This window comes from Homo sapiens, chromosome 5, assembly GCF_000001405.40.
Source record: "Homo sapiens chromosome 5, GRCh38.p14 Primary Assembly".
NCBI lineage: Eukaryota > Metazoa > Chordata > Mammalia > Primates > Hominidae > Homo > Homo sapiens.
The window spans coordinates 146,001,370-146,016,036 of NC_000005.10; the positions used below are offsets into that span (position 1 = coordinate 146,001,370).

A 14,667-nucleotide genomic window follows, 5' to 3' on the forward strand; every position below is an offset into this window, starting at 1 on the left:
TCCACCACTACCAGAAAGGAGATTTACTTCAGGTTTTCTCAAACTAGACAACCTCTCTGCCCTCCATATTTTGAGATAATGATCTTTATTATTGCCGTGGAACCTCAGAGCGAGACTCCTAAGGAAGGTCATTCTACAGCCCAAACAGCAAAGTGTAGACCTAGACTACAGCTAGAGGAAAGTCAGTTCAATTCCACAAATATTTATTATTTACTTTGTGCCAGGCATTAGACACACAGCTGGAGGAAGACATAAGGAAGTATCATCGTCTGCCTCTCTCACCCTTTCTGGGAATTTGTAAACTGGGGCACTTACTTCACACACTCATTCATTTCTTGAGCCCATCCATGTGCCAAGCTGGCCATTGGAGATAAAGTGATGAGTCATTGTTCTTACCTACACTGAGCTGGCAATCTAGTGGAAGAAACAGACATATAAATGGGAAATTATGACAAAGAAACCAAAAGAGAGGATTTGACCCATTCTGGAAGGCTGTGAAATACACAGACTTCTAGGAAATCTCATGGTCTAAACTCAGCATATCCAAATTAAACTCAAGATCTTCCTTCCCAAAGCTGTTCTTTTCCTAGTGCTTTCTAGCTCAGTAAATTGTGTAATTTATTCAACGTCATGTATTTATTCATGCATGCATGCATTCAATAAACTTATTGGCTGACTACTAAAAGGGAGCCACTGTGTTAGGTGCTAGGGAAAACAAAGATTAACAAAACAGACATAGGCCCTGCACACATGAAGTTTATAGTCAGATAGGGTAGACCGACATTAAAGAAATAATAACCTCCTGGCACGGTGGCTCACGCCTGCAATCCCAGCACTTTGGGAGACCGCGGCAGGCGGATCACTTGAGGTCAGGAGTTTGAGACCAGCCTGGCCAACATAGCGAAACCCCGACTCTACTAAAAATACAAAAATTAGTCAGGCGTGGTTGCGCGTGCCTGTAATCCCAGCTACTCAGGAGACTGAGGCAGGAGAATCGCTTGAACCCAGGAGGCGGAGGTTGCAGTGAGCCAAGTTCGCGCCATTGCACTCCAGCCTGGGCAACAGAGCGAGACTCCATCTAAAAATTAAAAAAGAAAGAAAAGGAAGGAAGGAAGGAAGGAAGGAAGGAAGGAAGGAAGGAAGGAAGGAAGGAAGGAAGGAAGGAAGGATAACCTATAAATGCATAATTGCACATGTGTAAGAGCAGGGGCCCCCAACCCCAGGACCACCGACCAGTACCAGTCCGTGGCCTGTGAGGAAACGGGCCGCACAGCAGGAGGTGAGAGGTGGGCAAGTGAGCAAACCTTCATCTGTATTTATAGCTGCTCCCCATGGGTCGCATTACTGCCTGAGCTCCACCTTCTGTCAGATTAGTGGCAGCATTAGATTCTCATAGGAGCGTGAAACCTATTGTGAACTGCGCATGCAAGGGATCTAAATTAGGTGCTCCTTATGAGAATCTAATGCCTGATAATGTGAGGTGGAGCAGTTTTATCTTGAAACCATTCCCTATCCTCTACCCTCTATCCCCACCTCCTACCCCCTGCATCTGAGGAAAAATTGTCTTCCACAAAACCAGTCCCTGGTGCCAAAAAGGTTGGGTACCGCTGTGTAAGAGGAAGCTAAGAAAGGGTATAATGCAGTAACAGATTTAAATTTAAATCAATCCTAATTCCTGAGGAGCATGGAACAGAATGTCAGAGAGATCAGAAGGTCTTTAGTGGATGAATATACAGGTTGAACTTGATGAATGGTTTATGGACAAGGAAAGGTGTTTCTAAAATGGCATTAAATTAAAAAAATCACTGTGTCCCATATGGCTTCATCTGTGTGAGGTACAGGAACAAAATAATGACAAAATAAATGTATAGTAGTAGAAGTCAGAGTAGTGGTTGCCTCTTAACAGGTGGTGGGAAAGGGCACAAAGGAACCTTCTGGGTGCTGGGAGGATTCTATACCTTCATCTGAACAGGGATTTCATGGATATATTCAAATGTAAAATTTCTCAAGATTTGTGCACTTTATTCTATGCATGTGTGTATGTTTTTGGAAAAGTTTTTTAAAAATATGTATGTTTATATGTATGTATGTTTTGTCTTGATAGAAAAGAATCTGGAAAAAATGTGTTATTCAAGCTGTTGACAGTGATTGTATCTTTATTGTGGTAAAATATTTTCCTTGTTTTGCTTATCTGTATTTTCAAATGTTTCTACAAATTTACATATAACCTTTTATAGTAAGAAAAATCTGAACAAAAAGTTGCTTTATGTTTGATGCATTAAAAATTGAATAGGTTCTGAAAGTCTTCAAAATGAGCATAAAATTCATTTTTCTTTTTGCAAAGCTAAAAGTGCTTCTCCCTATGGCTTCCATCTTGATTTCTCCATCAGATAAATTTAAATGAAAAGCTTGGACCCTGCTGGTGATTAAAAATTAGAAACATTTCAAAGTTTTCCTATTGGATTCCATTGATTCTCCAAATTATGTCTACCCCTCTATGGTCTCAGTGACACAAACACTGCCCTTTATGGAGAAAGTTCATTTTAGCAAAAAGACTTCCCAAATAAATCAAGCACAAGCTACATTCCTAACACTTTACACCATCTGAGACTCCAAACTGATCTCTGCTGAGAGCTTTTACTGCCTGAAAATGAGAGTAAATGCTGACCATGAGACTTTCTCTTTCAGGACGATATCATCACTGTGATCAGCCGAGTGGATGAGAACTGGGCAGAAGGCAAGTTAGGAGATAAAGTAGGCATCTTCCCTATCTTGTTTGTAGAGGTACGTGAGTATCAAGTCTACATCTGATTTACGCATACACAGAAATATTCATGTGCTACAGTGATGCCTGAGAGCAATTCCTATTTGCTATGAGGCTTATTTCAGAACTAACTAAAATCTCTAAAGAAAAGATGCCAGACAATAATACCCAATTCTGGCAAGAGTCTGGGGAAATGAGCCTTTTCTATTCTCCTGATGGGAATGTAAATTAGTGAAATCTCTCATATGCAAACTCAAATAAACTTATACCAAAAATATTAAAAATGTATGCCTCCTTTGAGTCAATAAGTCCATCTGGGAGTTTATTGTAAGAAAATATTTAAATAAGTATGCAAAGATAGATGTACAAAATATTCAAAAATGTTCACCATAATGTTAGGCGATGGTATATAATTATGAAAAAACAGAAATACTCTAAATATTCAACAATAAGGAGTTCATTTTTTTTAAATTGTGGTGATGAAAAAAGTGTCTCTCTATGGATAATACTATATTATCCATATATGGAGAATAATATTTATGGAGAATAATATGGAGAATAATATTTATGGAGAATAAATAAATGGAGAATAATATTTAATATCATAAAATGTTCAATATTATGGAAAGATTTATGATTCATTGTTAAGTTTTTTAAAAGTTTAATAGGTATAGAGTTCCAGATTTGCTGGATAAAAGAGTTCTAAAGATCTGTTTCATAACAGTGTGAATATACTTAACACTACTGAACTGTACACTTAAAAGTGGTTCAGAAGGTAAATTTCATGTTACATGTCTTTTATCACAATAAAAAATAAGTTGGACCATGTGGAACTAGCTTTATAAATATATATGTGTTTATATAAATGGATAAAGGACTAGAGAAGGATATGTACCAAAATGTTAACATTTTGTGATAACTAGATGATGAGATTCTAGATGCTTTTCATTTTCTTCTGCCAACTTGTATTTCCTAAATCTTCTGAAATTAGCATATATTTATTACTTCTGTTTTTTAAAGAAAAATCTTCTTTAAAAAAAAAAGAAAGAAAACATGCTAGGCTATGTATAGCTCCAGTATAATATAACCTGTCAGTGCCTAACCTCATTAGCCATGAGCCTCACTTTAGCTTGAAGCAAGTCATTACATATTTAAAAGAGAGGTTTCATTGTTTAGCTGCATTTACTGGGTGCTTAACATGCATAAAGCATTAAAAATGAGTAGTAGAAAGCTATGAAAGAAGTAAAAGGCGTGCTGTCCACCCTGGGGATTGGAGGGTTTGAAACAGAACAGACCACAGTTGAGGAGAAGCAACCAATTCTTCTAGTCATAAGAGCTAAAGCAGGTTCTGAAATGAATGGTGTACCCAGAGCATTGCACAGCTTTCAGGGTTCTCTGTACCTCCTCTACTCCATCAGTGTTGAAGGAAGGGATGGAGGAAGGGTCCAGAGAGGCTGATCTTCTTATTGTCTCTACTAAACTCATTCCTAATTCTCATTCCTAATGCCTTTTCTCTTGCTGGGACCCCTTTCAGATACACCACCCAATTCTCTTTACCTGTTCAAATTTCACTTATTTTATAAGGCTCAGATAGAAACCTACTTTGTCCATAAAATTTCAGCAAGTAGTTAAACCCTCAATGGCCTCTTTCCTCTGAATATCTGATGAGTGTGTTAGTTGTACTTCACAGGCTAGCCTAACACAGAACAAGCACTCTGTTTAAAAAAAAAAAAAAAAAGCTTAGCAAGTGAATGAATGGAAAATAATTGAGAAGGTAGTCAGAGCTCCCAGGGGAAAAAAAAATTTTTAAAGAGCAAACCATTCACTGTGACCCTGTCCTAAACATATGTTTAATTATTCACTAATTTTTCATTGAGTGCCTGCTATGCCAGGACCTGTGCCTAGTTCTAAAGACACAAGACAAACATGGGTCCCTACTCTCAGAGACTATAAATTCAGAAAGTATTCCAGTAATTGCAAGTGTGTTGAATCATGTAAAGACTGAAGTAGCCAAGTGTAGTGGCTCATGGCTGTAATCCCAACACATTGGGGGCCAAGGCAGAAGGATTACTTGAGCCCGAGAGATTGAGACCAGCTTGGGCAACATAGTGAGACTCCCATCTCTACAGAAAATTTAAAAACTAGCCAGGCATGGTGGCCCACAATGTTCCCAGCTACTCCGGAGGCTGAGGCAGGAGAATGATTTGAGCCTAGGAGGTCGTGGCTACAGTGAGCCGTGATTGTGCCACTATACTCTAGACTAGACAACAGAGCAAGACCCTATCTCAAAAAAGAAAAAAAAGACTGAAGTAGTGGAAACTATTAGGGAGTTATGATATGCAACTTACCAGGGCAGAAGGTCAACAAATGCCACTTATGCCAAGATCTGACAGATAGACAGCATTTTAGATAATGGAGGTAGAATGTGCAAAAGTCCTGCATGATGAGGAAATGTGGTGTAGCCAGGGGAAAAAGGAAGTACCAGAGCTGGAGCTTAGAGAGTGAAAGAGGAACAAAAAATGAAGCCAGGGAAGTAAATGGAAGACAGATCACAGAGGACTTCATAAACCATCCTGTATAGTCAGGATAGGCTAGGTTATGCCGTGGCAATAAACGGCACCAAAGTCTCAGTGGCTTAACAAAGAAAATGTTATTCCTCACCTAAATTCCATGTTCAGTGCAGAGTGATGAGGGGCTCTGCTCACATAGTCACTCAGGAACCCAAACTAATAGGGCTGGGCCATCTGGTAGCTGCATCATCTGGAACATGTGGGCTTCCTAGTTTCCACAGTAGGGACGCATGAAAAAGAGTGAGTTGTATCACCAACTAAATGCCTCGTTTCAGAAGTGACACTTGTCACTCCCACTCACAGCCCATTAGCCTGAACCAGTCACATAGCCTGATGTGATGTCAAGTCAGCTGAGAAGTATAAGGGAACACGTGAAACACTGGGTATCATTGCCTCTGCCATATCATAAGAAGTGTGGATTCGACCCAAAAGCCAACAGAAGCCATTGAAAGGTTTTTAAGTGACCAGGTTTGGATTTCTTAAAGACTGCCCTGGCTGCAGTGGGAGGAACGATTTGAAGAGGAGGGAGAAAAAAGCAGAAAGTAGAGTTAGGAGGCCTCTGCATTGCCCAGTTAGATGACTGTGGATTCGACCCATAGGTTCATGGACCTTTCAGGAGGTAGAATCCACAGGACTTTGGGATTGACAGAGGCAGGCGTAGAGGAGAGAAGTGTTCAAGGACAGCCCCACTTCTTGATTTATAGACATAGGTCAGTGGCAGAGCCATCTGCTGGGTAGGAGTGGAAGTTAGGATGATTCAGTCAGTGGTTGACTCTCCAAGGACAGACGTCAGCTGCAATTAGTACCTCATTGGACCCATATGAGGTGCTTAAGTATTTATGGAAATGGTTGCCTGGTCTCCTGCATTATCTTGAGATTCTTCTTCATAAGTCTGGGCTGGGGGGGAAGGCACCAGTCATCTTATTACCCATTTCTGAAACCCATTTCCCAAAACTTCTCCATTTAATGATTATTCATTTGGATACAGTTTCCTGACACTTCACCTCTAAAATTAGCGAGTACAAGAACCATCAAGATTATCATTAAACTAGCCAGTGCTTCATTTGTTCTCCTAATTGCTCAGAGGGGAAAAAGATAATTAAGTGGTTGCTCTAATCTGGAAACCTGATTTTCAAAAATTACCTGAAATCTAAATTGTGCTTTTTAAAGCAGCACTTAAATTTTGACTCCAGTCATTTCATTAAGACTAGCACTTGCTGAGAACTCTTTAAATAAACTTTGAATTACCAGTGCCATGGAAAGCAATTGGAAGGAAGGGAGGCTTTCTTATGAGCATGATGTGTGTATGTGTGCATGTTTGTGTGTGTTTGGCATAAACAGGATTTTTCTTGTTAATGTATCATTTCACTTATTGAATTGCACCCGCATTAAAAGGTGATAAAACAAAGGCTGAGCCTATGCTCATTCTTATCAGGACTCCTCCAATGGAGCCTGCCTGGGTTATATGAACTTTGCTCAGCCCAGTGAGCCTCAACAATATTGTTTCAAATGAGTGGGTGCAAATCTAAGAGACCTGCAATTCTTCCCCAGCAGAGCTATTAATCATGTTGGCAGAGGACAGGGCAGACGCAGAGTCTCCCGGAGCCCTGTGTCAGTGTTAATGTTAGAAAAGCTGACGGTGGTACTCACCTGGGGACAGAACAATTAGGTGGAAGCAGAAAAAATTAACTTATTTCATTATAGCCAAGAATGGCTATATAAAGAACTTTACTCATTCAATTCAGAGTGTATATTGCCCTTTTACTGGGTGAACAATGGAGGGGCAGGTGTCCTGGGGCCTCTAAGTCATTGTTCCTAGTTCAAGCTGCCATCAGAGCTTGCCTAAACAATTTCAATAACTTCCTAATTGGTCCCCCTATTTCTGTTCTGGCACTTCGAAATAGCAGCTGAAACGAGCTTTTTATTTCTTTTTTATTTACATACAGTAAAATTTACTCTTTTTAACATCCAGTTCTATAAATTTTAATAAGTATGTAAAATTGTTTAACCACACCACAATCAAGACATAGGAGAGTTCCAATAGTCTGCCCTGAAATTTCTCATGCTTCCCCTTTATAGTCAATTTCTTCCCCAACTCATAAGTGCTGGCAACCACCAATCTGTTTTCTGTTCCTGTAGTTTTCTTTTTCCAGAATGTCATATAAATGGAATCATACAGAATGTAGCTTTTTGAGTCGGGCTTCTTTCATTTTGCATAAAGCATTTGGGATTACCCATGCTGTTTCATGTATCAGTAGTTCATTCCTTTTTGATGCAGAGTAGTATTCCATTGTATAGATGTGCCAGAGCTTGTTCATTCACCTCGTGAAAGACACTGGAGTTGTTTTCCAGTTGTTGGCAACTATGCATAAAACTGTTATAAACATTTGCATACTGGTTTTTGAGTGGGCACAAGTTTTCATTTCTCTTAGGTGATTACTTAGGAGTGGAATTGATGGGTCAGATGCTAAGTATGTGTTTAACTTTCTAAGACACTGCCAAACAGTAGCATGAGCTTTTAAAAGCATAAATCAGATCTTATCACTCCTCTACCTAAGTCCTGCCAAAGACTTCCTATTATATGTAGAATAAAATGGAAGCTTCCCAGGCTCTTGTGATCTGGCCCCTGCCTGTCTCTGTGGCCTCTTTTATCACCTTCTCCTTACATGCTCTGTTCCAGCCTTCTCTCTGTTTCTTTCTTCTGTCTTTTTCTCAAGCAAGCTGAGCTCTTTCCCTCTTTAGGACTTTCAGAGTAGCTTATGGTGCCTCTTCTGGGCATATTCTTACCTCCATTTTCACATAGCTAGCTCCTTCTTGACATTTGTTGTTTCAGCTTAAATGCCACCTTCTCGGCAGATCTTCCTCGACCCCCTAATTTAAAGTGGCTGCCTCCCCCAGTCACTCTCTATCATGTCAGAGCACTTATAACTATATGATGTTTTCTTGTCTAGTTGTTTACATGCTGGCTCTGTAATTTATAAGTCACCCCTTCCAGGCCTTGGCCTCCTGATTTTTAAAATGGACATAATAATGCTCATTCCCCTACTTAATGAGTTTTTCACAATACTATAAGCTTCTTGAAGCAAGAACCATATCTTCTTTAAAATTTTCTTTTTAAGAACTTTATTTATTCCTCAACAAAAGCGACATTCAATAAAATTTTCTATCTCAGCTATTTTTTTGTTTTTATTATACTTTAAGTTCTAGGGTATATGTGCACAACGTGCAGGTTTGTTACACATGTATACAAGTGGCATGTTGGTGTGCTGCACCCATTAACTCGTCATTTACATTAGGTATATCTCCTAATGCTATCCCTCCCCACTCCCCCCACCCCACGACAGGCCCCAGTGTGTGATGTTCCCCTTCCTGTGTCCAAGTGTTCTCATTGTTCAATTCCCACCTATGAGTGAGAACATGCGGTGTTTGGTTTTTGGTCCTTGCGATAGTTTGCTGAGAATGATGGTTTCCAGCTTCATCCATGTCCCTACAAAGGGCATGAACTCATCCTTTTTTATGGCTGCGTAGTATTCCATGGTGTATATGTGCCACATTTTCTGAATCCAGTCTATCAGTGATGGACATTTGGATTGGTTCCAAGTCTTTGCTATTGTGAATAGTGCCACAATAAACATACGTGTGCATGTGTCTTCATAGCAGCATGATTTATAATCCTTTGGTTATATACCCAGTAATGGGATGGCTGGGTCAAATGGTATTTCTAGTTCTAGATCCTTGAGGAATCGCCACACCGTCTTCCACAATGATTGAACTAGTTTACAGTCCCAACAACAGTGTAAAAGTGTTCCTATTTCTCCACATCCTCTCCAGCACCTGTTGTTTCCTGACTTTTTAATGTTTGCCATTCTAACCGGTGTGAGATGGTATCTCATTGTGGTTTTGATTTGCATTTCTCTGATGGCCAGTGATGATGAGCATTTTTTCATGTGTCTTTTTGCTGCATAAATGTCTTCTTTTGAGAAGTGTACGTTCATATCTTTTGCCCACTTGTTGATGGGGTTGTTTGTTTTTTTCTTGTAAATTTGTTTGAGTTCATTGTAGATTCTGGATATTAGCCCTTTGTCAGATGAGTAGATTGCAAAAATTTTCTCCCATTCTGTAGGTTGCCTGTTCACTCCGATGGCAGTTTCTTTTGCTGTGCAGAAGCTCTTTCATTTAATTAGATCCCATTTGTCAATTTTGGCTTTTGTTGCCATTGCTTTTGGTGTTATAGACATGAAGTCCTTGCCCATGCCGATGTCCTGAATGGTATTGCCTAGGTTTTCTTCTAGGGTTTTTATGGTTTTAGGTCTAACATTTAAGTCTCTAATCCATCTTGAATTGATTTTTGTATAAGGTGTAAGGAAGGGATCCAGTTTCAGCTTTCTACATATGGCTAGCCAGTTTTCCCAGCACCATTTATTAAATAGGGAATCGTTTCCCCATTTCTTATTTTTGTCGCGTTTGTCAAAGATCAGATGGTTGTAGATGTGTGGTGTTACTTCTGAGGCCTCTGTTCTGTTCCATTGGTCTATATCTCTGTTTAGGTACCAGTACCATGCTGTTTTGGTTACTGTAGCCTGGTAGTATAGTTTGAAGTCAGGTAGCGTGATGCCTCCAGCTTTGTTCTTTTGGCTTAGGATTGACTCGGCAGTGTGGGCTCTTTTTTGGTTCCATATGAACTTTACAGTAGTTTTTAAAAATTCTGTGAAGAAAGTCATTGGTAGCTTGATGGGGATAGCAATGAATCTATAAATTACCTTGGGCAGTATGGCCGTTTTCACAATATTGATTCTTCCTATCCATGAGCATGGAATGTTCTTCCATTTATTTGTGTCCTCTTTTATTTTGTTGAGCAGCGGTTTGTAGTTCTCCTTGAAGAAGTCCCTCACATCCCTTGTAAGTTGGATTCCTAGGTATTTTATTCTCTTTGAAGCAATTGTGAATGGGAGTTCGCTCATGATTTGGCTCTCTGTTTGTCTGTTATTGGTGTTTAAGAATGCTTGTGATTTTTGCACATTGATTTTGTATCCTGAGACTTTGCTGAAGTTGCTTATCAGCTTAAGGAGATTTTGGGCTAAGACGATGGGGTTTTCTAAATATACAATCATGTCATCTGCAAAGAGGGACAATTTGACTTCCTCTTTTCCTAATTGAATACCCTTTATTTCTTTCTCCTGCCTGATTGCCCTGGCCAGAACTTCCAACACTATGTTAAATAGGAGTGGTGACAGAGGGCATCCCTGTCTTGTGCTAGTTTTTAAAGGCAATGCTTCCAGTTTTTGCCCATTCAGTATGATATTGGCTGTGGGTTTGTCATAAATAGCTCTTATTATTTTGAGATACGTCCCATCAATACCTAATTTATTGAGAGTTTTTAGCATGAAGGGCTGTTGAATTTTATCAAAGGCCTTTTCTGCATCTATTGAGATAATCATATGGTTTTTGTCGCTGGTTCTGTTTATATGCTGGATTACATTTATTGATTTGCGTATGTTGAACCAGCCTTGCACTTGATGATGGTGGATAAGCTTTTTGGTGTGCTGCTGGATTTGGTTTGCCAGTATTTTATTGAGGATTTTTGCATCGATGTTCATCAGGGATATTGGTCTATAATTCTCTTTGTTTGTTGTGTCTCTGCCAGGCTTTGGTATCAGGATGATGCTGGCCTCATAAAATGAGTTAGGGAGGATTCCCTCTTATTCTATTGATTGGAATAGTTTCACAAGGAATGGTACCAGCTCCTCCTTGTACCTCTGGTAGAATTCGGCTGTGAATCTGTCTGGTCCTGGACTTTTCTTGGTTGGTAGGCTATTAATTATTGCCTCAATTTCAGAGCCTGTTATTGGTCTATTCAGGGATTCAACTTCTTCCTGGTTTAGTCTTGGTTGGATTTCTAAATTAGAATGAGATACGGTTTTAGAGGGCAACTGGTAACAATTATAAAAATGAAAATTTAGGTAATCATCCTAAAATTTAAGAGTTATTGCACTAACTCTTGTTTGTCAACATGTTTCAGATTTCCAAAGGAAATGAACCCACAGGGGCTGTCAGTGAGTAGGGTACTCAAAATATTATGACATATTGCTTGTGAGAATGGACCTATACGGTGGGGAAGACAGACATAACACAGTGGTGTACTGGAGTTGGCTGGAACTAGATCACAAGAGCTGGTTGTTATATTTTCAGAAATTTTCCCAGCCAGTTGTTTAACCATTGGTGGCTTGAAAAACTCCACAAATCAGGGATCTGTTTTCTTTCTTTCTTGTTACTTTTTTTTTTGACAGCTGATTTACCAATACATCACTGACTAAGAGATATAGAACAAGGAAGAATGGTGATTACATGAACATATTTAAAGGAAGTAGTAAAAGTCAGTCTTAGCATAAGGATTCAGGGTCCTGAATGCACTACATTCTGGCTCAAACACTTATGAAATGTATAAACTTGAGCAACTTCATTCACTCACTATTCCACAAACACTAAGCATCTACTCTGGGGTACAGGAGAGAATCATGTGTAGAAGGTCCCTGCAACCCAGATAGCTAACGGACTAGTGGGGGAAAGGCAAGTAAAGGATTGCAGTTTGGAGTGGAAAAATACAATGATTGGGAAGCACAGGGGCTGCTGGGAGCACCAGGAAGGACAAGTGGCCAACCCAGCAGGGGATTCCAGGATGGCTAAAGGAAGAGGGGAGAAGTCCACTAGGTGAAAACAGCCAGAAATGACTGGGGAAAATGGGTAAAGGAAGAATACTCTCAGCCAGGGAAGAGCATCATGGCTTATTTTTATCCCCTTTGGACCTCAGTAAAAGAGTAATACTTACTTTGCAGGAAAGTTATGAGAATGCATTAATAGAGCAAAGTCATGAGGATGCATCGATAAAAGATGGAAGCTGTTACTGTGCTCACCAAGGAATGAGCATCTGAGCCAGTGACTGAGGAGGTGGCACCTGACCTGGCTTCAGATGTACATGGGTAGGAACTGGCTACTCACATTAGATCAGGAAGACAAACTTCTCATTGGACCTTTTGTCTTTTCAGCCAAACCTCACCGCAAGACACCTTTTAGAGAAGAACAAAGGTCGCCAGTCATCCCGCACAAAAAACCTGTCCCTGGTGTCCTCGTCCTCCAGAGGCAACACGTCTACCCTCCGTAGGGGCCCAGGGTCCAGGAGGAAGGTGCCTGGGCAGTTTTCCATCACAACAGCCTTGAACACTCTCAACCGGATGGTCCATTCTCCTTCAGGGCGCCATATGGTAGAGATCAGCACCCCAGTGCTCATCAGCTCCAGCAACCCCTCTGTGATCACCCAGCCCATGGAGAAAGCAGACGTTCCTTCCAGCTGTGTGGGACAGGTAGGGAAGAAACGCCTGGGATGAGGGCACTTTGGAGTTGGGCAAGTGATTCATACCATGTCACAACCAATATTTGATGTTTAGTACTTGCTAAGCACCCAGAATGCCCTACTAGTAACTAATGCCATATGTATTCCATGTTAGAATTGTATAAACCTTTTATTTCATCCTTGAACAGCCTGTGAGTTAGGTGTTATTACTATTATCCCCATTTTACAGTTGAGCGAACTTAGGTTTAGAGGGGTTAAACAACTTATCCAAATTCTCACAGATACTTTTCTTTCCCTTGCTGAGTGCCATGATATCGTTCCTGTCCCTTAGAGAACTTCCCTCTAAGGAGATGATGGCACCTATTTTCTCGAGAGTGTTTTGGCATCACAATCTGAGATTCAATATCCCATCCTCTGGCAATGTATTAGACATCAGATGGAAAGAAAGCAAAAGAAACAAAAAGAAACTATGGGTTATTGAATGTTCTCAGGACTGGTTACCTACATTTATAGGACCCAGTCCAAAATGAAAATACAAGTCCTATGCTCAAAAATGATCAAGAATTTGAAGATGGGAACAGCAGAGCATTAAACCAAGCAAAGAGCCCTGTGTGGCTATGCAAGGCACAAACCGGTGAAGCCAGCCCTGGGTGTTTCCAGATGGAGTACCTAATAAGATAATGCATGTAAAGTGACTAGCACCATGATGCCCACCATATACTAAGCATCCAATAAGTGTTGCCTCTTAATACTATTGTTAACCCTGGTCACTGTGTTGCCAACTGAAGACGCGTAGGGGTGGTCGTGGCAATCCAGAAGCTGAAGTATTTCTAGCAGCATGTGGCTATTTAGGTTGAAGGGTACTTTAAAAGATGAAGGAGTGGAGGTATGAGGCAAAGTAATTAAGAAGAGCTGCATGTTGGGTATTCAGCTGAAAACACTCTTTGGGACCATGCAGGTGGCAACTTGAAAGGACAAAACTCAACTTGTGCTGATGTGTTTTTTCTTTTTTTTAAGGAGCTGTAAATTTTGTTTTTAAACATGAATTTCTACCTTGGGATTAAAAGGCTTAATTGGACTCTAATCCCTTTTTAACAAGACAAGGAGGAAAGAGAAAGTCAAGGGCTCCTCAAAGACCTGTGTGCTATTCTGAAAGGAAAACAATCACCTCCTACAACACTTCATATCTTATACCACTGTCTGGGTTGCTAAGAAGTTGGCTGCTCATGTAATTCTGCCCACCAACTGCACCACATGCACACGCACACACATACACACTTTCTCTTTCTCCTCCATTTCACTCCCCTTGCTTTAACAGAAACTATAAAACTTTCTACATACACACTGCACTTCTTTACAAGTACATATTAATAGATGCTTTATGCCCAAAGTTCTCCTTCACACACACACACACAAACACACACACTCTAAAATGGGAGCCTTGTGACTCACAATTAAGCCAAAGAGTCACAGAATTTTTTGAAACGATTCTTTATATATAGTCATAGATATATAAAGTGCAGCCCACACTCAGTGGAAATAAGCTAGCTCACTCAGCTCTAAGTTGGCTTCGCAAAAGATTTAACCAAGAGTCATTTTCTGTGTGCTTTTAAAATTCTTATTCTGGGCATTTATGTCATCTACGGAGGCTGGACTAGAGTGGGAGAAGCTTAGTAGGATTCAAAACAAGTATTATTACTTCGTAGTTTTCACAAATAGTGAGAATTCCACAGTATGGCACTGCATTCACACATCCGATGACCAGGGAACTACTTCACAGCAGCCTTTTCTCCATTCAGATGGCTGTGGATTATAAGTATTTCTACATGTTTGTCCAAAGGTTGTAAAAACACACTCGAAATGGCCCACTTATGACATATCTAATGATGAGCAGAAAGTTGAACAAATGGCAAGTTCTTCCCTTTTCTCTAACATTCTTGAGAGCTGTGGTTGGGTCTGGCTCATCACACTCCCCCTACCTTCCC

General features: G+C 40.2%; 1 protein-coding gene and 1 long non-coding RNA gene across 6 annotated transcripts in view, besides 1 other annotated feature; one reads left to right on the plus strand and one right to left on the minus strand.

Annotated features, from left to right (window-relative positions):
• Positions 1 to 14,667, minus strand: part of LOC107986458 (uncharacterized) — a 131,758-nt gene that overhangs the window by 65,669 nt on the left and 51,422 nt on the right. The gene's annotated exons all lie outside the window — the stretch shown is intronic.
• The window catches only part of SH3RF2 (SH3 domain containing ring finger 2), a 145,196-nt gene that overhangs the window by 64,792 nt on the left and 65,737 nt on the right, over positions 1 to 14,667 (plus strand). For all 5 annotated transcript variants that reach the window (XM_006714757.2, XM_011537568.3, XM_017009136.2 and 2 more), the window contains exons 4-5: positions 2,689 to 2,784; positions 12,378 to 12,692. In XM_006714757.2, coding sequence (XP_006714820.1) covers positions 2,689 to 2,784; positions 12,378 to 12,692 — 411 coding nt within the window. The remainder of the gene's footprint in view (positions 1 to 2,688; positions 2,785 to 12,377; positions 12,693 to 14,667) is intronic.
• Positions 6,237 to 6,406: an enhancer, noted in NCBI's record as "experimental_80983 CRE fragment used in MPRA reporter constructs". NCBI's record gives its function as "activates a minimal promoter by MPRAs in K562 erythroleukemia cells, with activity observed for the non-introgressed 5:145387254 variant allele {active_cell/tissue: K562}" and the evidence as "EXISTENCE:reporter gene assay evidence [ECO:0000049][PMID:34662402]".